Consider the following 25,639-nt stretch of genomic DNA (forward strand, 5'->3'; position numbering starts at 1 on the left):
AAGAAAAATGTGTTTAAATTCCCCAAAGGAACCCTATGCTCTACACTGGGAAAGGCTTATTCACTGCTGACTTTCAAGAACCAGACATGACTTATCACACCGTGTAACCAAGGCACTGAATGGAACTGAAACCCCAAGGAGTCTTCTTATCTTTCTGCTTTCTAGATACCAGGAAAAAAAAAGAAGCAGTTGAGATTATTCACTCTTCCAGTAAACAGGCCTCTAGAAAGTCAGAGGAATGGCTGGGTGCAGTGGCTTATGCCTGTAATCCCAACACTTTGGGAGGTTGAGGCAGGCAGATCACAAGGTCAAGAGATCAAGACCATCCTGGGCAACATGGTGAAACCCTGTCTCTACTAAAAAGTACAAAAATTAGCTGGGCATGGTGGCATGTGCCTGTAGTCCCAGCTACTCAGGAGGCTGAGGCAGAAGAATCACTTGAACCTGGGAGGCAGAGGTTGCAGTGATCCGAGATTGCGCCACTGCACCCAGCCTGGGCAAGAGACACTCAGGCTCAAAAAAAAAAAAAAAGAAAGAAAGTCAGAGGAACATGAAACACTCAAATGTCATAAAGAGCCTTTTCTTGCCAACTCTTGGTTATATGGATTTGCTATACTCTTTAGGGGCTGAAATTACTCATCCGAGAAGGCATAGCCAACTTGCCTCAAGGCAGAAATTTGGACAGCATCAATTTAGGTCCAGCAGAGCACTTCTCAAATTGCTTCCAAAGAGAAGACTGGCTCCTCCTAGCCAGCAGGGGAGCTAGAAGAACAATACAGCCACTCACCCCCATCATGCCTTTCAGTCCTGTCCAAAGTTCAAGCCCCTTCCTGCCCCCAGACCCCCGACCCTTTCCCACAATATCACACCCACAGTCCAAAACTTCCCTTGGATCCCCACCCTCCTACACCTTTGTACTGAACCTCTTGGGACCACCCTTCCCCCAACCTCTCTTCTTATCTTGGTTGAAACCTGGAACTCTTGATGGAAGCACATTGTAGCTTCTCCTTATTGCCCAAAGCTGTTTCCAATATAAGACTCCTCCACTCTTGGGTAAAATTTACCTCCATGTCTCTCAATCATTCTATCTCATTCGCTGAAGACCTTTTCCCCTGGTTCAGTCCTCCCTGAGTCACCAAGTCCAGCAGTCATTCCAAATGACCTTAGAATCCACCAAGCACACTGCCCAATTAGTTCCTTGACCTCATTCTGTAACCTCCTTCTTGGTGTTACTGTCTTCCTCCCAAAGACCTAGCGTGGCTTTCCCATCACTACTCAGAATGGCTCCAACTCTGACAGTACCTGCCAAACATCTCACTGCATTTCCTTTTGACCCTACGAACTCCTTCCCTGAGATCTCTCATGCCACCTCTCCCACCACACCAACTCTTCCATCTCTTCTGATGCTCCAATTTGCTAGCACCTCTATTTTCTTCTTCTCTGACAGGCCTCTTCTGTCTACATCTCCTTTCTCCTCCATCCTACATCAACTGCCCACTAACCAATGATCTCAACTCCCTCACACTCTCTTAAACACTCACTCAACCAAATCCCAACCCCAGATCCTTCTACCTATCACCTTCTCTGTTCCTCTCCTCAGGATACTCAACACCAAGGAGAAAACCACACAACCATTAACAGCAGATGGCATAACAGATTCAGGGGCTCCATTCTGGACACCCTCAGAGCTGTCCAGCAAACCTGTTGAGCTCTCTTTCCATTCCCCTCAGAAGTTTTTGTGGGGTTTTTTGTTTGTTTGTTTGTTTAGATAGAGCCCACTTTGTCGCCCAGGCTGGAGTGCAGTGGTGCGATCATGGCTCACTGCAGCCTTGACCTCCTGGACTCAAGTGATCCTCCCACCTCAGCCTACCACGTAGCTGGGACTACAGGCACACGCCAACTCACCCAGGTAAGTAGAAATGGGGTTTCACTATGCTGCCCAGGCTGGTCTCGAACTCCTAGGCTCAAGTGATCCTCTGTCTCAGCCTCCTAAAGTGCTGAGACTACAGGTGTGAGCCAACATGCCTGGCCAGAGGCTTTTTCAAACCTCCTCGACTTTGCCCAAGCCTCAGGGTCCACCATCAACCCTTCCTCTAACTCCACTCTCAGACGATAACCTCACCTCCTACTTTACAGAGAGTAAAGCAAGAACGCCTTCAACTTCCTGCCCACCCTCAAACTCACCTTCATCTGTATCCATCAATGTCTTCCTTCCCATTCAGTGGATAAATGTCCTTCCTCCTGCTTCAGATCAACATGCATCCCAGCTCAGAACTCTATCCACACTAGACTTCCCAGGCATTTGCTCTACTACATTAATGCTCTCTTATGCTCTCACACTTCCCTCTCTTTTCAGTTTAATGTGCCAAGACTCTCTCATCCTTTTTTTTTTTTTTTTTTGAGACAGAGTTTCACTCTGTCGCCCAGGCTGGAGTGCAGTGGCACAATCTTGGCTCACTGCAACCTCCACCTCCCAGGTTCAAACGATTCTCCTGCCTCAGCCTCCCGAGTAGCTGGGACTACGGGCGCATGCCACCACACCCAGCTAATTTTTGTATTTCAAGTAGAGACAGGGTTTCACTATATTGGCCAGGTTGGTCTCAAACTCCTGACCTTGTGACCTACCCGCCCTAGCTTCCCAAAGTGCTGGGATTACAGGCATGAGTCACCACACCTGGCCAACTCTTTCATCTTAAAAAAAAAAAACAAAAAAATTCCCCTCAGACCTAACGCCTGCTCCAACTATGACCTCTTCTTCACAGTCAAGCTTCTAGATTTATCTCTCCCAACTTCTCTCCCAGTGAATCTGGCTTCCTTCCCCACCCCTCCAGTGAAACTCCCCTAGCTACAGTCAGCAGCACACCAGCATGGCCATAGTGACCAAACTCCACAAACACATTCAGACCACACTTGACCTGGCTTCTCTGGAACATCTTCCCTGAGCCCTCAATTCATGCACACACTCCTGGGTTTCTTTCTATCTTGCTAGCCAATCTTTTCCCTCTGTCTGCCTTTTACTTCACTGTTTTTCAAACTGCCAGTCTTGAACCTAAGTCTCAAAATCCTGGGCTTAAGCGATCCTCCTGCCTCAGCCTCCTGTAGCTGGGACTACAGGTGCATGCTACCACACCTGGCTAATAGAGGGACGAGGTCTCACCATGTTGTTCAGGCTGGTATCAAACTCCTGGCCTCAAGCAATCCTCCTACCTCGGCCTCCCAAAGCACTGGGACTATAGGCATAAGCCACTATACCCAGCCCACTCCATATATTCTTTAATAGACAGCCAGACCTAGCAATCCCATGATTAAGTATTTAACCAAGAGAAATAGAAATATATGTCCACAAAAAAGACTTACACAAGAAATGTTCACAACAACTTTATTCATCAAAGCCAAAAACTAGAAACAACCCAAATGTCCATCAACAGAATGTATAAGCAAACTGGGTGAACCCATACAATGGAACACTACTCAGCAATGAAAAGGAGCTACGACTGATGCACTCAACAATGTGGCTGAGCTCCAAAGTATTATGTTGACTTAAGAGAGCCAGACATGGCAGAACACCTACTACGTAACATCATTTTCATGAAATCTGAGAAAGACATAACTGGTGATAAAAGTCAGAAAGCAGCTGTAGAGAGGTGGGGTGGGTGACTGACTGGAAATGGGCACTGGGGAATTTTCTGGGCTGGTGGAGATGTCCTATATCTGGTTTGATGTGTTGATAATATGAATGTATAAAATTGCCACCTCATTTCCCTTTTTTAAGTATTTTCTGAGAGTGCCACAATCTCATGGCAAAGGCCTTTGGGATTTCATACCTGTATGATTCTCTGTACTCCTTCTTCGTCACCTTCCTTCACAGGCTACCCTGCTCTCATACTGAAGTTCTTATCTTTTCCCAAATAGATGATGTTCTCCTTCACCCCTGGCCTCTCTGCTTGAACAACCCCACAGCTTTGGCATGGCCACCTCCTACTGTCTTTTGAGACTCAGCGTAGATGTTACTACTGCCAGGAAGTCTTCCCAATCCCCAAACTAGATTTGTATTTTTAGTAGAGACGGGGTTTCACCATATTGGCCAGGTTGGTCTCAAACTCCTGACCTCGTGATCCACCCACCTTGGCTTCCCAAAGTGCTGGGATTACAGGCATGAGCCACCACACCTGGCCAACTCTCTCATCTTAAAAAAGGCTTGTGCTTAACCATTTCCCTCCCCAGAATGTGAATTCCCTGAGCACAGGGTCTCCAAGTTATTTGCTGAGGGTGTGCCAGGTGTTGAGAATGGTAAATGTACTCAACGTTTGTCCGACAGGTGAATGAAACATTCAAAAATTGCTTTCTCCTCAAGCTAAACACAGAAGGATGAACAGTTGCAATATCAATATTTAAGGAAATAACTTTGAAAGAATAAAAGGTCAGTATTTTATATTTAATACTTCAGTAACCATATATACACAGGAGACTGTATTATATCAAGATCCGGTGCAAACAAAAAAGAAAAGCAAGACAAACAGACTCTGCTAACTCTTACTCTAAAAGCCAAGATAAAAGGAAAATGAAAGTCTTATTGGGTAAATAAATGAATCTCAGGGAGGGCATCCTGAGCAAAGGGAAGACTCTTTGATGGATACGAAAGTGGTCACTTTTTCAGTTGATTTAAGCAGAGGCAAGAGTTAGCCCAACAAATCTCTCTGAGCTGTGTAAATTCCAACAGAAGCAGCTAGGAGCCAAACAATGATTTGGAAACGTACCAAGAGCTCAAAAGCATCAAGTCTAGACACCTCAAACTCCCCTGAGAGGGATCTGGCTGCCTGCCTACTGCCAAGATCCCTGCTGACCCCAATTTCTTGTATTCCATAATCATTTTTAGATGGATTGCTAAGAGGTAGCTTTAAGAGAAGCAGCCTCAGCCACCTGCCATCTTTCACATCTCAGAGGGGCCCATCTTTCCTTTGAAAGGGAAAGAAAATGGACTAGTGTTAAATTGCAAGTGAAATAAATTCCTTAAATATCAGGAAGCAGAGAATATAAGTAAAGATCTTCCTCTAGCACTTCTAGCTGCCAAATCAATCTTCAAAGCAAAAAAGTGCTAGCTGTATTTCTTCAAGTGCTATCTGATTTGCCAGAATACTTTTCACCATTCCAGAACTATTATCGGCTGGCTGCTGGTTACCAGCAGGGCTTCTCTTTCTTCCTTCTTCTCCCAGTCGAGAATGCAATGTATGGCAGGGCACGGTGGCTCACGCCTGTAATCCCAGCACTTTGGGAAGCCGAGGCGGGTGGATCACGAGGTCAGGAGATTGAGACCATCCTGGCTAACACGGTGAAACCCCGTCTCTACTAAAAATACAAAAAAATTAGCTGGGCGTGACGGCAGGCACCTGTAGTCCCAACTACTCGGGAGGCTGAGGTAGAACAATGGCGTGAACCTGGGAGGCGGAGCTTGCAGTGAGCCGAGATGGCGCCACAAGAATGCAATGTATGGCTCAATATAAAAAGCGGGCTGAGCGCAGTGGCTCACGTCTGTAATCCCGGCACTTTGGGAGGCCAAGGCGGGCGGATCAGGAGTTTGAGACCAGCCTGGTCAACATGGTGAAACCCTGTCTCTACTAAAAATACAAAAATTAGCTGGGTGGCGGGCACCTGTAATCCCAGCTACAAGAGGCTGAGAGAGGAGAATCCTTTGAACCCAGGAGTTGGAAGTTGCAGTGAGCCAAGATCGCATCATTGCACTCCAGCCTGGGCGACAGGGTGAGACTCCATCTCAAAAAAAAAAAAAAAAAAAAAGTGACACATTTCCTCTTATACATTTTTTTTAAATCCTCCCAGATGCCTCATTACCTGCCTGGCTCCATTGTCAGCATCTGAGCCTGGCATCTGAAACCTTCAAAACAACAAACCCATTTAAAGCACAGGCATGTCTGTAGGGGTAAAAGTGAAAAGCAAAAATTGAGATAAATGAACCAAAAAGTGATAGCCACTGTCATTGAAAGTAAACACCATATGTAAAATAGCAAACACACAATTAGCTAACACAGTTTTGACAAAAAAAATTATGTCAAATTTTTTAAATCATAACATACACATAACAAAATTTGCCATTTAGTCATGTTTAGGTGTACAATTCAGTGACATTAGTTGTATTCACAATTGTTATGCAACCATCACTACTATCTATTTCCAAACCTTTTTCATCACCCCAGAGAGAAATTCTGTAACTATCAATCAATAACTCCCCATTCCAATCTTTCCTCAGCCCTTGGTATCTTCTAGTCTACTTTCTTCCTCTATGAATCTGGCTAGTATTGATATTTCATACAATGGGAAGCATACAATATTTGTCCTTTTGTAACTGGCTTATTTGACTTCTTAGCATAATGTTTTCAAGGTTCCTCCATGTTGCCACATGTATCAGAGCTACATTCCTTTTCATGACTAAATAATATTCCATTGTGCATATAAACCACATTTTGTTTGTCCATTCATCTACTGATGCACACTTGGGTTGTTTCCATTTTTGAATCTTGTGAATAATGCTACAATGAACCTTGCCATACAAGTATCTATTTGAGTCACTGCTTTCAATTATTTTGGGTATATACCTAGGAGTAGAATTGCTAGGTCATATAATACACAGTATTTTTTTTAATCAAGTACATTCAATAGTTTTAAAAAAAACTTGGACTTTTTTCCTGATTAAAAAGCAACACATGTTCATTGTAGGAAATCTGGAAAATAATTACACCACCCAGAGAAAGTCGCTGTTAATATTTCAGAATATTCCCTTAAAATCTTACTGTCTAGTTATACACATACACAGAGACAGACATACATGGATATTTTAACTAAAACTGGGTTATTTCCACTTATCATTGTATCAAGAGCATTAACTCCACTGTCATTAAATGTTCTTCAGAGGCCGGGCACAGTGGCTCATGCCTGTAATCCCAGCACTTTGGGAGGCCAAGACAGGTGGATCACGAGGTCAGGAGTTCGAGACCAGCCTGGCCAATAGGGTGAAACCCCGTCTCTACTAAAAATACAAAAAAACTAGCCAGGCATGGTGGCACGCACCTGTAGTCCCAGCTACTCAGGAGGCTGAAGCAGCAGAATCACTTGAACCCAGGAAGCGGAGGTTCGAGTGAGCTGAGACTGCACCACAGCACTCCATCCTGGGCAACAGAGGAAGACTCCGTCTCAAAAAAAAAAAAAAAAAAAAAAAAAAAAGTTCTTTAGAAACAACACTTAATATATGAATAATATTTCATCAGATAGATAAAGCATAACTTTATTAACTATTCCCCAATTTAGGCTGTTGCATATTTTCTGTGGTCATAAATAACACAGCAATGAACATTTTCATGAATTATTTCTTCTGCACTTCTTTGATTACTATTTTAGCATATCTTACAACAAGTAGAATCACTGCATCAAACAATATAACCATTGCTAAGGCTGTTGATAAAGATTACCTATTTGTCTTCCATAAAAGTCATACCAATCTATATTTCTACCAGCAAAAATAAGCAGCTTTTTTAAATGTAAAAATAAATTAATTATATAATCATAAAATATAAAAGAACAGCTTCCAAACTGGTAAACCATGTGTTAGCAATTATCTTTTCTATTAAATGATGTGGCCAGGCTAGATGAACTAAGGTTCAAGACATCTAGGAAAATGTCAAGTTTTCAAATGGCAATCCATATTTTAAACTAACAGGCCTGCTAAAGCATGGATATATTTACATATGGACATGTGGAGAGAAAGATTTATGTAAAACCACCACCTTCCTGATAGCTGTCCCCATCCCTAAATTTTCCCTTTGTCCTTTTTATACAAGCCTGAATAGACTAAGGACAACTCTAATGCCTATAATACATAATGCCTATAATACAGTGCTGTGGCACTGACTCATCTCCTTGGAGACACCTTCTTCCCAGCACATCCATCAGCCAATCTGGTTGCTTCACATGAAAAGAGTGGGTACAGGAGTTAAGGTTGCAGTGAGCTATGATTGCACCACTACATTCCAAACTGGGCAACAGAGCAAGACCCCCTCTCTTTAAAAAAAAAAAAAAAAAAAAAAAAAAAAAAAAAAAAAGGCCAGGCACAGTGGCTTATGCCTGTAATCCCAACATTTTGGGAGGCTGAGGCGGGCAGATCCTGAGGTCAAGAGATTGAGACCATCCTGGCCAACATAGTGAAACCCCGTCTCTACTAAAAATACAAAAATTAGCTGGGCGTGGTGGCACACATGTGTAGTCCCAGCTACTCGGGAGGCCACGGCAGGAGAATCACTTGAACCTGGGAGGCAGAGGTTGCAGTGAACCAAGATTGCACCACTACACTCGAGCCTGGCGACAGAGCAAGACTCCGTCTCAAAAAAAAAAAAAAAAAAAAACAGGAAGGAACAAGCCATGCTAACAAAAGGGGTGCCAGGGTCATTTTGGGAGGAGAAAATTACCTAAAATTCCCTCCCTCATCAGCAAACAAGGCGTCAAATTCCTGCCACTAGGACTCTGGTCCAAAGTTACAGTCCCCAAAGTCAACACCAGTGACATGGGGCTCCCAAAGTCACCACAAATATGCTCTAGGGACACTATCTGGACCGGAAGCCTCAAAACAAAAGTCAGTCAGTGACATACGATCCAGCCCTCAAGCCCACTTGCTTTGACCAGAATCAGGCTTTGGTTTGTTCATTGTTTTTATTTTTGGCTTTAAAAATTGTTTTGAATCAGTTGACAATCTTTAAAAATTAAGACAGCTTCTCACACAAATCTACATCTCTAGTTTCTCTTGCAATATCCAAGGATCTCAACATGGGGTCCATTCACTACACGGCAACCATAGGCCATAGCTGAGAAGCAGCTGCCCTGTCAGATGTGATGCACTCTCAGGTCTCCATGCTCCCACCTTCTCCAGACGCTCAGGATGCCAAAGCAGAGGTCAGCAGCCCTTGACCAGAGGGGTTTATACTGCTTTTCTGACACCCTTGTTTCTGTGACACAGCCTGAGACCTGGAGAATATTTGAGCCTGTGACCCCTGGTCTGGTACGAATAACGTATCATGCATACAAATAGGGTTACTGGCCAAACATCTGCAGATCCTATTATGACTAAAAAAATCCAAACTACTTAAGGCATTACTCAATTCAGAGAACCTCTTGCCATTAGGGATTGCCTGAATCAACAGACACTACTAAGTTTTGGTTTATGCTTTTTTTTTTCTGAGATGGGTTTCACTCTTGTTGCCCAGGCTGGAGTGCAATGGCATGATCTCGGCTTACTGCAACCTCCGCCTCCCAGGTTCAAGTGATTCTCCTGCCTCAGCCTCCTGAGTAGCTGGGATTACAGGCACGTGCCACCATGCCCGGCTAATTTTTGTATTTTTAGTAGAGACAGGGTTTCACCACGTTGGCCAGCTGGTCTCGAACCCCTGATCTCAGGTGATCCACCCCCCTCAGCCTCCCCAAGTGCTAAAATTATAGGCGTGAGCCACTGCACCCAGCCACTACTAAGTTTTTTAATGAAAAGGGGGAACTCAAGTTTTTTACTTTTTCAATAATAACAAAAAAATTAGAAATCAATTAAGAATTTAAGAAAAATTAAGAATTTTATTAAGTTGTTTTTTATCAAAAAAAAAAAAAACCCTTGTATTAAGAAAAATTAAGAATTTTTTAAGTCGTTTCCTTCCTGACTACTATGTACAAAATATTAGGCTTCTATTGAAGCAATGACATAATGATGAGTAAGACCCTGCCTGGGCCCTTGCAGGCAGATGGCGGACAGCGTGTGAACAGAGCAATTGCGGGAGGCACAGCGGTAAAGGTAATGGCATCCACCTGCGAAAAGCACAAGAGCCCTCAGGAGGTGACAGGAAGCCTTTATCAAAGGACAAGGCATCTGCCCGGCTAAGGAGAGGGAACAAGAAGCAAGGCTATGACACAAGTTCAAGGTGGAGCTGGGCTTTGGTCCCATTCTAGCAGAGCTGAGACTTCCTTTGGAGGTCACAGGAAGTCACCCAAGAGTTTTTAGTGTTGCATGCTTTAGAAAAGTTACCATGGAGATGGTGTTGAGGTGCCTAGAAGAAGAGGAGCTTGGGCTCAGGGAGGCCTTAAGAAGATGATCGTGGGAGTCCAGACCAGATGCAAGGAGCATCGAAACAAAGACAAGGGCAGGAGGAGCAGACCAGAGAGGCAGCTACGGCTCAGTGGCTGTTAGATACTGACAAATGAGACGAGCAGTTATCAGAAGAGACAAAGGCAGGAGGGAGCAGACCAGAAAGGCAGCTATGCCTCAGTGGCTGGTTAGATACTAGAGAACGAGACACAGCAGTAATCAGAATGATTCACTAAATTTCAGGCTCTGACAACTCAGTGGACATCAGAAACACTGGGCCAACACAAAAAATAAAGGATGGGGAGCAGTTACTGGAAGGTAAGGGTGAGTAGGGGAGACATAGAGACCAGGATCCCATCTGCAGAAGTGTAGCAGCTCTGGATCTAGGCACGAACAAGGTCAACCCTCGGCCCAGGCTGTCCCTAAGCACACAGCACATCACCAAAGCTGGAGGTGCCAATTCCTCCACCCAACTCAGCTGAACAGCAGTTCCCACAGCATCACTAAGGCTGAAAAATTGGAATGCTATCCTCCTCACAAAGGCGGAAGCATGCTTTGTCCTCTGCCTGCCTATAGCGAGTGTCCAAATTACCAATGGCAGATCTTACACCAACATCAGAAGTCCCCTACCAGCTCCTCTTGGCCTCTGCATATGCCACCTTCCCCTACTCCACAATTCCTGCGACAGCACTGAGAAGGTACTCAGGCAGGGCATGGGGTTGGGAGGTTTGGTGGAAGTCTAAAGATGACCAACACATGAAACAAGCCCTCAAAAGAACCTAACAGATCACGGAAGACTCCTGTGGAAACACTCCACACGCTGAGCACAGTATGACAGGCTGGAGGAGAAAAATAGATAAAGAATCTGTGTTAGGTCATATTCCCTGGAGGCAGAGCCTGATGTGGCGACTCCTATGCAAATGAGTGCTTGAGGAAGTGCTCTCAGGATCCGGAGAAACTGGAAGAAGGTGAGGGAAACTGCATAGGAGTTGAGATAAGCCCAGCCTCCGTCTGATCCCACAAAAAGCTCTGAAGTAAACTGTACAAAGTTTGTGCTGCCAGGAAGCAGGGGATTGGGTTTGATACTCCCAATCGTTGACTTCACTAAGTGATGTCAGTCACTGGGTACAAGGTCACACCAGAGTGGAGGATGCAGGTTACCTCCCAGTCACCTCCAGGCTAGAGGGTTCCTCCCCTGCAGGGCAGAATCTTCCAGTGAAAGGTACAGGCATGAAGTATTAGCAGCTAACTCCCTCAATTAGTCAAGGGCTGGGTGCCCTGACCCAGTAAAGGGGATCTGTGCAGGGCACCAGCAACATCCACAATGGACAGAGTCCATTCTAGAAGTCCAGCAGAACAATATACATGCAGGGAAAGAGGGAAGGGCCATTCATCATTATGAGTCTTTTCATCTTTCCATCTCTCTGGAAACCATCCAGGAAGTTAAAAAACTCATCTGTACAAGGTGGTTGAGCACCTCTGAAAAGCCTTGAGCATGGAGTATAATTTTACAACCCAGACTGAAGGCTTACCTCCCAAGTAACTGGGTTTATTGTTCCCTATTGCAAGCAGCAGCCTGCAGTTCCACCTACCTTCTGCCTAAGAGCACTTTAGCCTCAGAGTGAATCTCCACGACCACACTCGAGCAATAAACGGGCAGTCATCCTCCGTCATATAACTAACAACTTTCCTCCAATTTTTATGGTGCTTTTTATGCTGACTTTATAAAGTTTCACGTTTTACTTTCCAGATTTCATCGTGTGCATTCAATGCACCCCAGGAGTGTTGCTAAGCAGTTTTAATTTTCCAAGAAGTATTTCTTTGCCTTTCCTTTCCACTAAAGCATAGCTAAGAAATTGGAAAAGGCCCCCAAATCAAGTTTTCTGTACAGTGTGTACAATCTGGACCAAGACATTCAAGAAGGAATTGACTTAAGGAGAACTTCAGAATCATGGCTGGAGCCCCCACCATCCATGATGGAGTTAGAGAGTACCTCTATGGTAATGCAGGGCCAAATAAGTAAATTCCAGAGTAGCGAAATTAACTTTGTAATAAAAGACTATTTGATTATTCAGAGAAAAGGGAGCAGGTGTTTGGTAAGGTGCCAGAGAAATTCCTTAATTACCAGCCAAGTCCAAAGGAAATAAATGGTCAAATCAATTAACTCATTATTTATTATTTACTCTGTGATTAAACTTACAGATCAAGCTTCTAACAATACTAAGGGGAAGTTGGGGAAAGAGGAGTTTTAGGTTGGTTTCTTAGCCCAATGCAAATCTGCCTCAATTGTCATTCCTAAAACGCACACACATATTATTTCAGGAAGGATTGAACCAATCAACTGAAAAAACAGGAGACAAGTTAAAATAGCAACAGCTAACCTTTTCAGAGTACCTTCCATGTGCCTAAAACTGTGCAAGTAGTTGGATGCATACATCCTTCTCCATTCTCATGGAACAATTGTGCAGTACAAGAAATATAAAAGGATACTGGGTTCCGGCTGGGCACGGTGGCTCACGCCTGTAATCCCAGCACTTTGGGAGGCTGAGGCGGGCAGATCACGAGGTCAGGAGATCAAGACCATCCTGGCTAACACGGTGAAACTCGGTCTCTACTAAAAATACAAAAAATTAGCTGGGCTTGGTGGCAGGCACCTGTAGTCCCAGCTACTTGGGAGGCTGAGGCAGGAGAATCACGTGAACCCGGGAGGTGGAGCTTGCAGTGAGCTGAGATCACCTCACTGCACTCCAGCCTGGGCAACAGAGCAAGACTCTGTCTCAAAAAAAAAAAAAAAAAAAAAAAAAAAAAAAAAGGATACTGGGTTCCTACCTCACAGAACAGACACAAGTCCAGACAGATTAAAGCCTTAATTGAGAGAGGTAACTTCTGAAACTTTCAGCAGAAAATATAAGAGAATATCTCTTTAGTTAACTAGAAAAGAAAATACTCATATTCTACCACATTAAGAACCTCCTGACCTGAGGTCCCACCTATGGACTGACTTGGTTTGGATCAGAGCTAGAAGCTGCTCTCAATGAAAAATTTTAGTTGTCAGTTATGCAGTGGGTTGAAGTAGCAATCTGAGAGTTGGCAAAAATTTTTTAAAGTAGGTCTCGGTGGAAATCCTACTTATGTAGGCTTGTATTAGCTTCCAGGGTATCCGAAAAGGGCCTGTCAGGAGGGATGACTGTTTCTGCCAGTAAACTGAGCAGTGGGCAGCATAATTAAGAGAATATGGAAAAGAAGTAAGAACTTGTTTTTCAAAAGCATCACAAATAAAGTAAAAAGCCAAGCTATGAACTAAAAGGAGATATTTGCAACATAGATCCAACAAAGGATAAGTATGCAGAATATATAAAGCACTCCTACAAACCAATGCAAAAAAGACAACCTAATAAATAACTGAGCAAAAGACCCAAGCTGGAATTTCATAAAAGAGGAAGAAAGAATGACCCTTAAGCACATGAAGAGCTGCTGTCTTTCTGATAATCAGAGATACACAAATTAAGATACCAATGAGATATCATGTATACCTACTGGCTTGGCAAAATTAAGAATTCTTACTATATCAAAAACTAGAAAAGGTGCAGAACAATGCAAATGCTTATACCCTACTGGATGGCATTAAACTGGCACATCCACTTTAGAAAACAACTTAACATCATCTTATAAAATGGAACATCCAAATACCCTGAAGCCCAGTGGATATAGTTTGGATATCTGACCTCTCCAAATCTCAGGCTGAAATGTGATCCCCAATGTTGGAGGTGGAGCCTAAGGGGAGGCACTTGGGTCATGGGGGCAGATCCCTCACAAATGGCTTGGTGCCCTCCCTATGGTAATAAGTGAGTTCTCACTCTGTTAGTTCTGTTAGTTTACCAGTTAGCTCTGTTAGAGCTGGTTGTTTAAAGGAGCCTAGCATCTCCTCCTCTCTCTCTTGCTCCCTCTCGCCATGTGACATGCCTGCTCCCTCCACTTTCCATCTTGAGTAAAAGTTCCCTGAAGCCTCACCAGAAGCCAAGATGCTGGTGCCATGCCTGTACAGTCTTCACAACCATGAGCCAAATAAACCTCTTTTCTTTATAAATTACCCAGTCTCAGATATTCCTTTATAGCAATGCAAAACGGACTAACACACCAACAATTCAACTTCTACATCAACATCACAAGGAAATTCTTGCGTGTGTGTACTGGGAGATACATACTAACTTACACACAGCAGTAACACCGTTCACAGAGGAAGAAATGGTGAACAACCTAAATACCCATCACCAGGATAAAAAATTTGTGACATAGTCACACAAAGAATGTTATACAGCATTGAAAAGAAATGCACTGAAGTTAGACACAATAACGGGAATCAATTTTGGAAACAAAACGGGAAAAAAAAAAGACTTGCAGAAAACTATATACAACATCCTTTTAAAAATATAAAACTGAGAAACAAAACTAAATAATACAGAGAGATAACACACATTATTTTTGTAAAATATCTATTATAAAAATACTTTATATTATACAAAGGTGAAGGAATGATGAACTTGAAACTCAAGAGTTAGTGGTTACCTAAAAGAGGGGAGGAAAGGATTGAGTTGAAGAAGAATACTTGGGCAGATGAGCTACTAGTGGTTATATTATCCTTCCTAGAGTGAATGGTGAGCTCATGCCTGTTCATTTTCTTATGCTCTGTTACATATATGATTGCATATATTCTTTAATATAAATCAATTATATTTTTCAAATATTAGAAAAAAGCTATTTAGATCATTTATTCTATGATTGTATACAATTATAAAAATAGAAACTAATATATAAATGTTAATTTAAACTATATAATTATATATTTAAATTATATGGAGTATTTATTATTATTCCCATTTTACTGATGAAGAAACTGAGAGTTAAAAAGGTAGGATAACTTTACACATCCAGTTAAGTGAAAGTGACAAACTAAGCTTTTCATTAACTTTAAAACCCATGCTTTAACACCGTGCTATACTCTTAAGATTTCCACCAGCGAAGAAAAAAATTAGATATAATTCACAAGATTCAAGAATCCCTGCCTAAAACTCCATTAGTGTGCAACTCTTACAGAACTCCTACTATAATCTGTGCCTTCCATGAGTGGTGGGAAATGAGTATTGTTTATTAGGATTTGTTAGCTCTAAAGACAAACTTATTTACATGTTAACATATAGTCATATTAAACAAAAGACTCTTAAATTCAATGAAATTTGGAATTTATAGAAAACCTACGATAAAGCATTTTGTTTTATTTTGCAAATGCAAATAAAGAATCCTGGTGCAAAGTGGAAAGCCATGCCTTAGTACACATTAGGTGGATTAAGAAATATGTTTTCTTCAGTGAGGCAAAACTATTCAAGTGATAAATTCATCTGTTTGTCCAGGTTCTTTTCTTGTTTTCACCTTCTGAGCTTCTTTCACTTCCCTTCAAGAGTCATGTTTCCTCTCTCACCCTAGATCTTAACCAGGTGGCACTTCCTCCAAAAGAGTTCCCCACCCTACATCCAGGCGTATCCCTCGTCACGCTCCGTGAGAGCACTTTGCATGCTGCAGTTCAACCACTGCTGTGCATCTTCTTCCTAGCCCACCAGCAACTTGGGGCAGGAACCCATCTACAATAGTCCCCACTGTACCTTCAGGCACAGCATGGGGAGCAATGAGAAGGAATCAACAACTGAATGAAGGGATGATCATACTACTATGTAAAATCCATTCACACGAAAGGATCAGAGGGAACACAGAATAGTAGGAAGGATGTGGCACTTGGAATCAGACTGACCTGTGTTAGAATGTCCCCCCAACATCAGTTGGCTCTGATATTACTAAATATTAAATATTACTAAAACCTGCCCGCCTTGTGTGGTTATTAGAATTAGTGGTGATAATATGTGTGAAGATGATTCTCTCAGGTACTAATCAGTGACTTTAAACTGTGGCTGTCGGGGAAGGGTCCTATATTCTGGTTCAACTGGTCCAGGATGGGATCTGGTGATGAAATTTTTGTAAAATCTTCCTACTTTTTTTTTTTTTTTTTTTTTGAGACGGAGTCTCATTCTGTAGCCCAGGCTGGAGTGCAATGGTGCAATCTCGGCTCACTGCAACCTCCGCCTCCAGGGTTCAAGCAATGCTCCGCCTCAGCCTCCTGAGTAGCTGGGATTACAGGCGCCCACCACCATGCCTGGCTAATTTTTTTGTATTTTTAGTAGAGACGGGGGTCTCACCATCTTGGCCAGGCTGGTCTTGAACTCCTGACCTCGTGATCCATCCACCTCAACCTCCCAAAGTGCTGAGATTACAGGCGTGAGCCAGCGCGCCCGGTCCTCAGATACTTTTAATATGCAGAAAGGTTTCAGAACCTCTCCACGGGACAGAAGCAAGGCAGGAAATAACATCTGCAGAGCCTTGCTGTGTCCAACACTCAGTTGCCACACATTATATTATTTAATACCCCCACACACACAAAGAGTGGGCACTGCTTCCCCCTTACCAAGCAGAAGTGATTCTGTTGTTGTTGTTGTTGCTGTTGAGGACAGGGTCTAGACTGGAGTGCAGTGGCTTGATCACAGCTCACTGCAGCCTCAGCCTCCTGGGCTCAAGCAATCCTCCCACCTCAGCCTCCTAAGTAACTGGGACTACAGATGCATGCCACCACACCTGGCTAATTTTTGTATTTTTTGTAAAGACGGTTTTACCATGTTTCCCAGGCTGATCTCAAGCTCCTGGGCTCAAGCAATCTGCCAGCCTCAGTCTCCCAAAGTGCTGGAATGACAAGTGTGAGCCACCACACCTGGCCACAATGGCCATTCTTCATTAACCCTTTTCCTTCTCCCTCTCAATCATGTCAATTTTCTTCAAAAAAGAGACAGCTAAACTTTCAGACAAGTCACCATACGTGAAGATGTTCAAAAGCTCTATGTGTATGTGAGGAGTGTGTGTGACAGAGAGACAGAGACAGAGAAATGAAAGAGGAGGAGAGAAGGAACTGGGGCAAGAGGCAACAGAATGACGCCTTTTTCCATCAGAGAGTTCAGCAGCTTCAGTGCTGTGGTTGATTCCTTAACATCAAAGCTAAATAGGAACTTGTTTCCAGCTCCAGTTGTTGCAGCTGACTGGTCCTATAATTTCTAGCATGCACAAAGCATGTCAAAATCCTCAACAACAAAAATCATTAAGAGAAGTCTGGGTTCATCCTTTAACCCTAGAACAATTAAATGTGTGAGGTGCCCGTGCATTGGCCCATTTGCTCCTTCTGCACATGAATTCCCATTAACACCAGTCCCAAGAGGGAAGAAAAAGGGGTCAGAAAGATGGCTGCCTGGCCAAGATGCCACAGGCCTGGAGGAGGTACTGAATTAAATGGCCTCTAAGCCCCTCAACTCTAATCCTCTACAAAGAGCCTTTGTGCATTGCTAACACTAGGCTGGAAAGGAAAAAGAAGCAACAATCCCAAGTTCCATGAGGAGGGCTTCTGGTTCTTTCTACTTGCAGCAATCAGGCATAATTTTAAAGCTAGCCGTCTCAGCAATAAAAAGGAATCCACGACTGATAAGACACAACGACATAAATGAATCCCAAAATGTTATGCTGACTAGAGGAAGCCAGACACAGTAAGTATATATTGTGTGATTCCATTTATATGAAATGCTAGAGTAGGCAAAAACCAATCTATATTGGGGGCAGGGGGAAGGATGGTGGTTGCCTGGAGTGGGGAGGAGCAAGAGACACAACAGAAGCTTCTGGGGAGATGGTAATGTTCTATGCCTTGACAGAGGTTGGGTAAAAATGCATGCAGTTGTCAAAACTTAGCAATGTACACTTAGGATTTGTGCATTTCATTGTGAAATTTTACATCAAGAGAAATAATTGAAAACAAATATTGTTAATGATATGTGTTAATGACATGCATGCTAAAATATTTATGACTATACTAATGTCAGCAGTTTGCTCTGAAATGTATAAAGAAATAAAATGGATCTATGGATGAGACAGATGGACAGACATGTAAAAAACTAGGTATAATAAAATGTCAGTTGTAGAATCCAGGTGGTAGATACTTGTGTGTTTACTGTACAATTCTTTCAACATTTCTGTATATTTGAAATTTTTCATAATAAAATGAGGGAGGGGGCAGTTAGCCACATAGAAGGTAGATGGGTGGATAAGGTAAGCTAATTGCTAAGAAAAAATCATAGAAGCTACTGGCATCCAGGCATCCACTGGGGTTTAATGCAGCGTGAGCTGCTCAGACAAAAGAAAAAAGGAAAGATGACAAAATTGAAGATAACAGTAATACAGTAATAATTTGTTGAACCACTACTATACACCAGAGGTATATGCTAGACACTCATATGCCATCTGGTCTTACCATCACAACTTCCCTGCAAGGTAGGCATATCATCATTTTATAGATAAGCAAACTGAAACTCAGAATGGTGCAGGAACTTATCCGAGGCTAGAATTTGAAACCAGCTCTACCAACCTCAATAGAAAAAGAACCATATGAGCCCAACACTGCTTCCCTCTTGCAAAGGTCAGGACTGTGCCAAAGGCTCAGGCATGGCACTGCAGCCACAGCTACCCAGCAATGCCACCTATCATGCAGTAGGAAGCCACCCTCTTGGTAACAGCATTGGCACTTGCACTGACTCCCTGTCGCTTCATTCTCCCAAAAGCCCTGTGGGGTCTCCTACACTCAATCCTCTTCCCTCTTTTCTTTTTGCCACAAGGAGAATTTACCCACCAGGGATTTAGCCATCATCTCCATGCACATGCTCTTAATAACAAATAATGCAAAGCAGCTCATTCAGTGCCATCTAGCAGCTTTCCAGCCCAGCTTCTAGTCTACAGAAGCTAGAAAACTATAAGCTACATTTCACTGACTCCCTTGCAGCTAGATTCTTCTAAGCAGACACACTCATGCAAGATCTGAGAGTGAGAGGGGAACAACAGGAGGCAGTAGCCACAAACCAGAAGGTCAGAACTTCTGGTCAGATGGTGACAAGTGTATTTGATTCCTTGGAGCAGTTATAGCAGATGTTATGAAGTTTGGCCTCTAGTGTCACCAGCCCTAAGGCAGAAGTGGGTTATATCCATGCTATAGATGGGAATTGGTTAGAGACAGGCTGTGTTGTTCCTAAACATGTAGCATTGATCTTGGTTCTCCCAGAAACACTGCAAAACCCTCTAATAAATCCCTGGCTACTTAGACTGCTTAGAAGGAATCTACTGTTTGTAACTAATATCCTAAACAGCAACCCTTCTAAATGGCTCTGATCCTGCCTCCCACATTTTGAGCCTATATAAATGCCTGCTAGAGAGTAAAACTCTTTAGTACAGGAGAGTCCCACTTTCCACATTAGAGGGAGGGCAAAGGAGGACAAGGAGAGTTGAGGGGACATCCTACAGTCCATCAGGTTCTATTAATATCAGTATGTGCAGGGTCTCCCAGAAAAGCAAACTGAGCAAAGCTTTCCAAATGTTCCAGGTAAGAGGGACAACAGAGCACATAAAAATGATGGCCTTTTGGCCGGGCATGGTGGCTCACCCCTGTAATCCCAGCATTTTGGGAGGCCGAGGCAGCTGGATCACCTGAGGTCAGGAATTCAAGACCAGCCTGGCCAACATGGCGAAACCCTGTCTCTACTAAAAATACAAAACAAAAAAAAATTAGCTGGGCTTGGTGGCGGGCACCTGTATTCCCAGCCACTCAGGAGACTGAGGCAGGAGAATCACCTGAACCTGGGAGGTGGAGGTTGCACTGAGCCGAGATTGCGCCATTGCACTCCAACCTGGGCGACAAGAGCGAAACTCCGTCTCAAAAAAAAAAAGGGGGCCTTTCATGGACCCTGGCCTTGCTCCCTAGAGTAGGATTTGGGATACAGCATGTCAATCTTGGATGCTGCTTGGTGAAGGAATGATCTCATTCAAAAGCCACATTGGGCCGGGTGTGGTGGCTCAAGCCTGTAATCTCAGTACTTTGGGAGCCTGAGGTGGGCAGATTGCTTGAGTCCAGAAGTTCAAGACCAGCCTGGGCAACATGGTGAAACCCCATCTCTATAAAAAATACAAAAAAGTTATCTGGATGTGGTGGTACACACCTGTGGTCCCAGCTATTCAGGAAACTGAAGTGGGAGGATCACCTGAGCCCGGGAGGCAGAGGGTGCAGTGGGCCAAGACTGTGCCACTGCACTCCAGCCTGGGCGACAGAGTGAGGCCCTGTCTCAAAAAATAAAAAATAAATAAAAATAAATAAAATCATGTTGGCATGGTGATCCAGGGATGTACAAAGGCAGAACTTTTTGTTTTTTTAACTATCACAACTGACACATAAATATTTTTGTTCTTTCCAAAGAAATAACCACAGAGACTCCTGACTTATTGTCATTACCCACAACCTTTGACTCAGTTACGATAAATCCATCTCCCCTGAGCACAGTTATGAGATCTGGAAACAGCTGAAAGCAACCCAGAGCCACAGTGGCAGCTGAGGCAAGGGAACTGCACTGGCGAACACCATTTTTAGTCAAAAATGAGAAAAGACTATGAAGCAGGCAGACCTCTACTCTACTGTGGCTTATAACTTATTCTGAAGGCAATTCCAGAAAAGGAGCCTTGAAATATTTTGAGCAATGGCAGCACTGTTGTGAAAAAGAACCTTGCCATTCGTGGAGATATGTACTTGGAGATTCCTGGGGTTTTTTGTTGTTATTGGTTTGTTTTTGTTTGTTTGTTTTGGTTTGTTTGTTTTTTGAGGAGTCTTGCTCTGTCGCCCTGGCTGGAGTGCAGTGGTGCAATCTCGGCTCACTGCAACCTCCGTCTCCGGGGTTCAAGCAATTCTCCTGCCTCAGCCTCCTAAATAGCTGGGATTACAGGCACATGCCACCACGCCTGACTAATTTTTGTATTTTTAGTAGAGGGGGGGTTTCACCATGTTGGCCAGGCTGATCTTAAACCCCTGACCTCGTGATCTGCCCACCTCAGCCTCCCAAAGTGCTAGGATTACAGGCGTGAGCCACCGCACCCGGCCAGATTCCTGTTTTTAAAAATGCATCTTTAAAGTCACATTGTATAGAGTGACACTGAAGTATGGTCATTTGTTTCTTGGTTTATTGTGTGTGCACCAGCTAAGAAGGAAGAAAAAAATTAAACGTGTGCTATGTCTTAGCCTTTGTAGCCATTTGCAAGGAGGGGTGCAGTAACTCTCGGGCCACCAGAATACCCTTGTGACCACAATGTTAACTTAGAGCTAAAGCGTGACTTTGCCACTAAACATCTTTCAGCCCCTGAATAGCCAATTACCTGATTTACTTTAGCTCTGGCCTGATTTCTACTAATATTTAGGGCTGAAGTAAATAATGAGTGAAGTATTACTCTTGCAATTGAAAAAAGTTAAAAATGCACAAAATGACAGTACACCTCACAAATTAGTCCTTAAAAATATCTTCTCTGACAAATCTAGTTTGTATGTTTTAGGCCTCACTAGATCCAATGTAGTAACAACTGTCAGATATATGGTGTGTTATGCTTTTTAATAATATCAACTGGTATTGCGCACATCAGGACTTCACAGAGGTACATATGCAGGAGGACAAGACTCAAAAGAAATGCACAAAAATCAGTAACAGTTGTATTAGGATGGGAGGACAAGGGCCCATTTTTTTCCCAAAAAAAGTCTTTATATTTGTTATGTCAACTTTTCAATAACACAAAGCATCTTTCTCACCATGGATGCTACATTTCAACTGAGATGTTTATGTTCTGAATACTGGATTCTTCTCTCTCTCACACAAGAGCCAAGGGTGTTTCGGCTTTGTGTTCCAAAAGCCTCTAAACTAGAGAACAGGCCTTTGAGCCAAATCCAGCCCACCACTTATTTTAGCAAATAAGGTTTTATTGGAACAGAGCCATGTCTATTTGTTTACATATTGCCTAGGGCTGCTTTTATGCTGCCATGGCAGAGTTGAATTATTTACTATCTGACTCTTTACAAAAAAACCTTTCTAACCCCTGTACTAAACCAAAGAGTAAGCACTCCAGCACATGGGAAACTCATTAATGCACCATGGAAGAGACTCCCAAAGGTCAAATGTCATCTCTAAAGGGTCAGGGCCCTAGAAGACACTTCCAGTAATTGTGATCCAAAGTAGCAGTTCAAGAGTGGAGACGCACGCAATGGAATCACACATGCTGCATTTGCCAACAAGCCAAGGTCCAGGCAAGAACAACTCTCAATTAAAGAGTGCTCTGTCCTAAAGAAATGCTACGAGATATCGGCTCACAGAGAAAAGTCTCAAATTTTTAATGCAGTCTAATCAAATTTAGCCAGGTCCCTTCCTGAATTTACAAGTCCACCTTCTCTTTTTGCAGCACTATAAACAGTGTACTATCTACTGATAGATCAGAAGCAGTCCTAAAGGCCAGTTCTGTATTCATAACCTGGAAAATAAAATAAAAGCAACTTTGTCTACTGAAAACTACTGTTAAACCCAGTCTTTTTGCTATATATCAGAGGAAATTAGCATGAGACTCAGAGATAAGATATCCCAAACACAATCTGTTAATACCCCAGGATCACTGGGTTCAAGGAAGAGCTCTCTGCACATTTTGAAGTTTTCGCCATCACTCAAAGCAGCTAATACATAAGCCAGAACATCAGATGAGTCTCAGGGCATCAGCTAGATAATGAGAAGCCAGCGGGTATTCTTTGCTATATAACAAAACACAAGGCAAAAAGACCATTTTTAGCATCACCTTTCTGGAGTTTTTCCAAAACTGACTGAGAAGCATATTCTGTTTCTTGTTCTAACTCAGCGACAAACTCCGTGTGTAACTTTGAATTAAATGTCATCTATTTGAGGCAGTTTCCTCACCTGTAAAACAGAACTTGGGCAAGTTCACCTGAGCACCTTCAAGCCTCAGAATAATGCTCCATGAAAGAAAATGTTAGCCTCCCTCTCCCCTTGACTAGGTTATTTTGGTTTATTGTGAAAAACACTTGCAGAAAAAGGATACAGGAAAAATGCCAAAATTATTCCTGGATTGTGACGTGGCCACTGTGCTACTTAAAATCAGGTTCTCTCAAATGCAGAAAATGAAAGTTGCCTATCAGTGAAGAAAAACAAAACTCTCCCTCTTAGGTCTGATGTACTCCATGGAAAAATGTCCTTCCAAACTCCCTGAGGCAGGGAAGACTATCTTAGCACTTTGCTGAGTGCTTAAGAAATTACGTACCGAAAAACTTCCCTGATCTTGAAGCAGCTCACAGTCTGGGAATCTGGCAGATAGGGAGTCTCAGAGATCGCTTCTGAACTTTTACCAGCCTCCCAAAACAGCACCTCATCCCTGGGCCCCTGGGTGCCAAAGGAATCCTTCAAAATAAGGCTGGATCCAGCCACACTCCGCTTGTCACTCAGACCCTCAGCTTCCCTCACCACGTTCAGTAATACAATGTGAAATGAAACAAACCAGAACCCTGCATTCAGGGTATTCACATTCACAATAACAAGGGCATTTGCATCAATTAGGATTATAAACAGACTGTGGAAATGAGATGCAATAGGGGAACCAGTTTAAATATTTTGTTGTCTGGCCAAATTCCTTATTCAGATCCAATTGACCTAAATGAGAAAGCAAGGCTAAAATGGACACCAGAAGGTTGCAAGCTAGTTTACATAACACAGGCCCTCCCCAGCTTAAACTATCCATTTCCAAGTAAAAATGGAAGTTAACCCTTTCTCCTCTACGTCTCTCTCTTCACAAGCTCAGAAACCAGAAGAGCATCTCTGAACCTTCCCCACTCTGGAAACTGTTGCAAGAGACTGTGCAACCCACTTCTCCCTCAAGGCCATCAGCCATGTGCCATCTGTGCCCCTACCCCACCCTACAAATGCTCACCACCAGGAGAGAATTACCAGCACTCTCTCTTACAGAAAAACCATCCTCTTTATCCTCTTTAATCCTTATTCCTCCTTTAAAAGGGAAAATAGATTACAAGGTCTAAAAACCTGACCTACAAAGGGTTAAAACCAAACTGCTTGAACCTCAAAGCTGCCCAAAAAATGGTGTAAACCACCTAGCAGCTCACAAATTCCCCAAGGGACCTCCTTCTGTCAATGTTTAACCAAGAAGCTACAGCCTTTTTTTTTTTTTTTTTTTTTTTAACTTGCCAGAGCCATTCTACATCAAATATTCTTCATGTGCAACCCACTCCATAAAGAATGAAGCTATTCTATAACAAATCAAGTTCTGAAGCTCTCCAAACCCACTCTTTGGCTCAACAATCAAATATGGAGCACCACCTAAGCAAACACGAGCCCTGTACTGTCCTTGTGGGTGAGGCTAGATCACGAGTCACCAAACAAGAATGTGGTGGTAGAACCTAAATTTGAGGGATCTGCAGTGCCCAGGAAGCCAGGGAAGGCTTCAGGAGAAAAGTGAGCTCCCAGGGCTCGGAAAGCTAGCGTCTCTGATTTTATTTTAGTAGACAGATACTATTTTTAAAATGTAAAGTATCATTAAAAAGGCTGTGCATGTGTTGGAGTAGGGGAGACATGGGAACTCTATATTTCCAATTTTGCTGGGAGCCTAAAACTGCTCTATTTAGAGAGTGTGTGTGTTAATAATGTTAATAATGCTAATAATGCTGGGAGGGGGCTGGGCTAATTATTGGTGTCTTTTGACATTTGTATTTTATTTATTTATTTTTTAGAGACAGGGTCTCACTCTATTTCCTAGGCTGGAGTGCAGTGGTGCAATCATAGCTCACTGCAGCCTTGAACTCCTGGGCTCAAGCCATCCTCCCATCTCAGCCTCCTGAGTATTAAATTTCATTTTAAATGGCATATATTCTAGTGTATAATTATAATCTTTACAGAAATTAATTAATGTACACCAGCAGATGTTCCTGTTATATTTCTAAAGGTTCCCTTTCAAGATAATTGCTATTAATTACATTTAAATAAGTTCTCTAATTTTGGCATCACCAGTTTTGTTTTGGTTTTTTTTTTTTTAAGAGTTTTTTTTGGCAGAGGGGAGGGTTGCTTTTTTTTATTTTTATTTTTTGAGACGGAGTCTCGCTCTGTCGCCCAGGCTGGAGTGCAGTGGTGTGATCTCAGCTCACTGCAACCTCTGCCTCCTAGGCTCAAGCAATTCACCTGCCTCAGCCTCCTGGGTAGCTGGGATTACAGATGCCCACCACCACGCCCAGCTAATTTTTTTGTATTTTTAGTAGAGATGGGGTTTCATCACGTTGGCCAGGCTGGTCTTGAACTCCTGACCTCAGGTGATCTGCCCACCTTGGCCTCCCAAAATGCTGGGATTACAGGTGGGAGCCACCGCGCCTGGCCGGCATCACCAATTTTGGATTCGAGGTCCTGTAGCCTACTATTAACACAGATAACAACTATAATTCTGTTGAATAAATGATTTTCTAAGCAAATAACAACAATAAAGTTATTTCATGGGTATAGTTTCAATTTGGGATGATAAAAA

At 43.0% G+C, this 25,639-nt stretch overlaps 1 protein-coding gene across 11 annotated transcripts in view, besides 3 other annotated features; it reads right to left on the minus strand.

Moving 5' to 3' along the window:
* OSBPL10 (oxysterol binding protein like 10) overlaps positions 1–25,639 on the minus strand; it is a 416,868-nt gene that overhangs the window by 275,938 nt on the left and 115,291 nt on the right. The window contains exon 1 of one of the 11 annotated variants that reach the window (XM_047447395.1): positions 23,381–23,605. The exons of the other annotated variants lie outside the window; for them this stretch is intronic. The gene's annotated coding sequence lies outside the window, so the exon portion shown is untranslated. Of the gene's footprint in view, positions 1–23,380; positions 23,606–25,639 lie in introns of those variants that run through there. 11 annotated transcript variants of the gene reach the window in all.
* Positions 9,564–10,166: an enhancer, noted in NCBI's record as "H3K4me1 hESC enhancer chr3:31987818-31988420 (GRCh37/hg19 assembly coordinates)". NCBI's record gives its function as "activates a minimal SCP1, AML or CMV promoter by ChIP-STARR-seq in primed H9 embryonic stem cells {active_cell/tissue: H9 hESC(primed)}" and the evidence as "EXISTENCE:reporter gene assay evidence [ECO:0000049][PMID:30033119]".
* Positions 10,167–10,768: an enhancer, noted in NCBI's record as "H3K27ac-H3K4me1 hESC enhancer chr3:31988421-31989022 (GRCh37/hg19 assembly coordinates)". NCBI's record gives its function as "activates a minimal SCP1, AML or CMV promoter by ChIP-STARR-seq in primed H9 embryonic stem cells {active_cell/tissue: H9 hESC(primed)}" and the evidence as "EXISTENCE:reporter gene assay evidence [ECO:0000049][PMID:30033119]".
* Positions 15,748–15,797: an enhancer, noted in NCBI's record as "active region_19631". NCBI's record gives its function as "activates an Ori minimal core promoter by ATAC-STARR-seq in GM12878 lymphoblastoid cells {active_cell/tissue: GM12878}" and the evidence as "EXISTENCE:reporter gene assay evidence [ECO:0000049][PMID:35858748]".

The sequence above is a fragment of the Homo sapiens genome, chromosome 3, assembly GCF_000001405.40.
Source record: "Homo sapiens chromosome 3, GRCh38.p14 Primary Assembly".
NCBI lineage: Eukaryota > Metazoa > Chordata > Mammalia > Primates > Hominidae > Homo > Homo sapiens.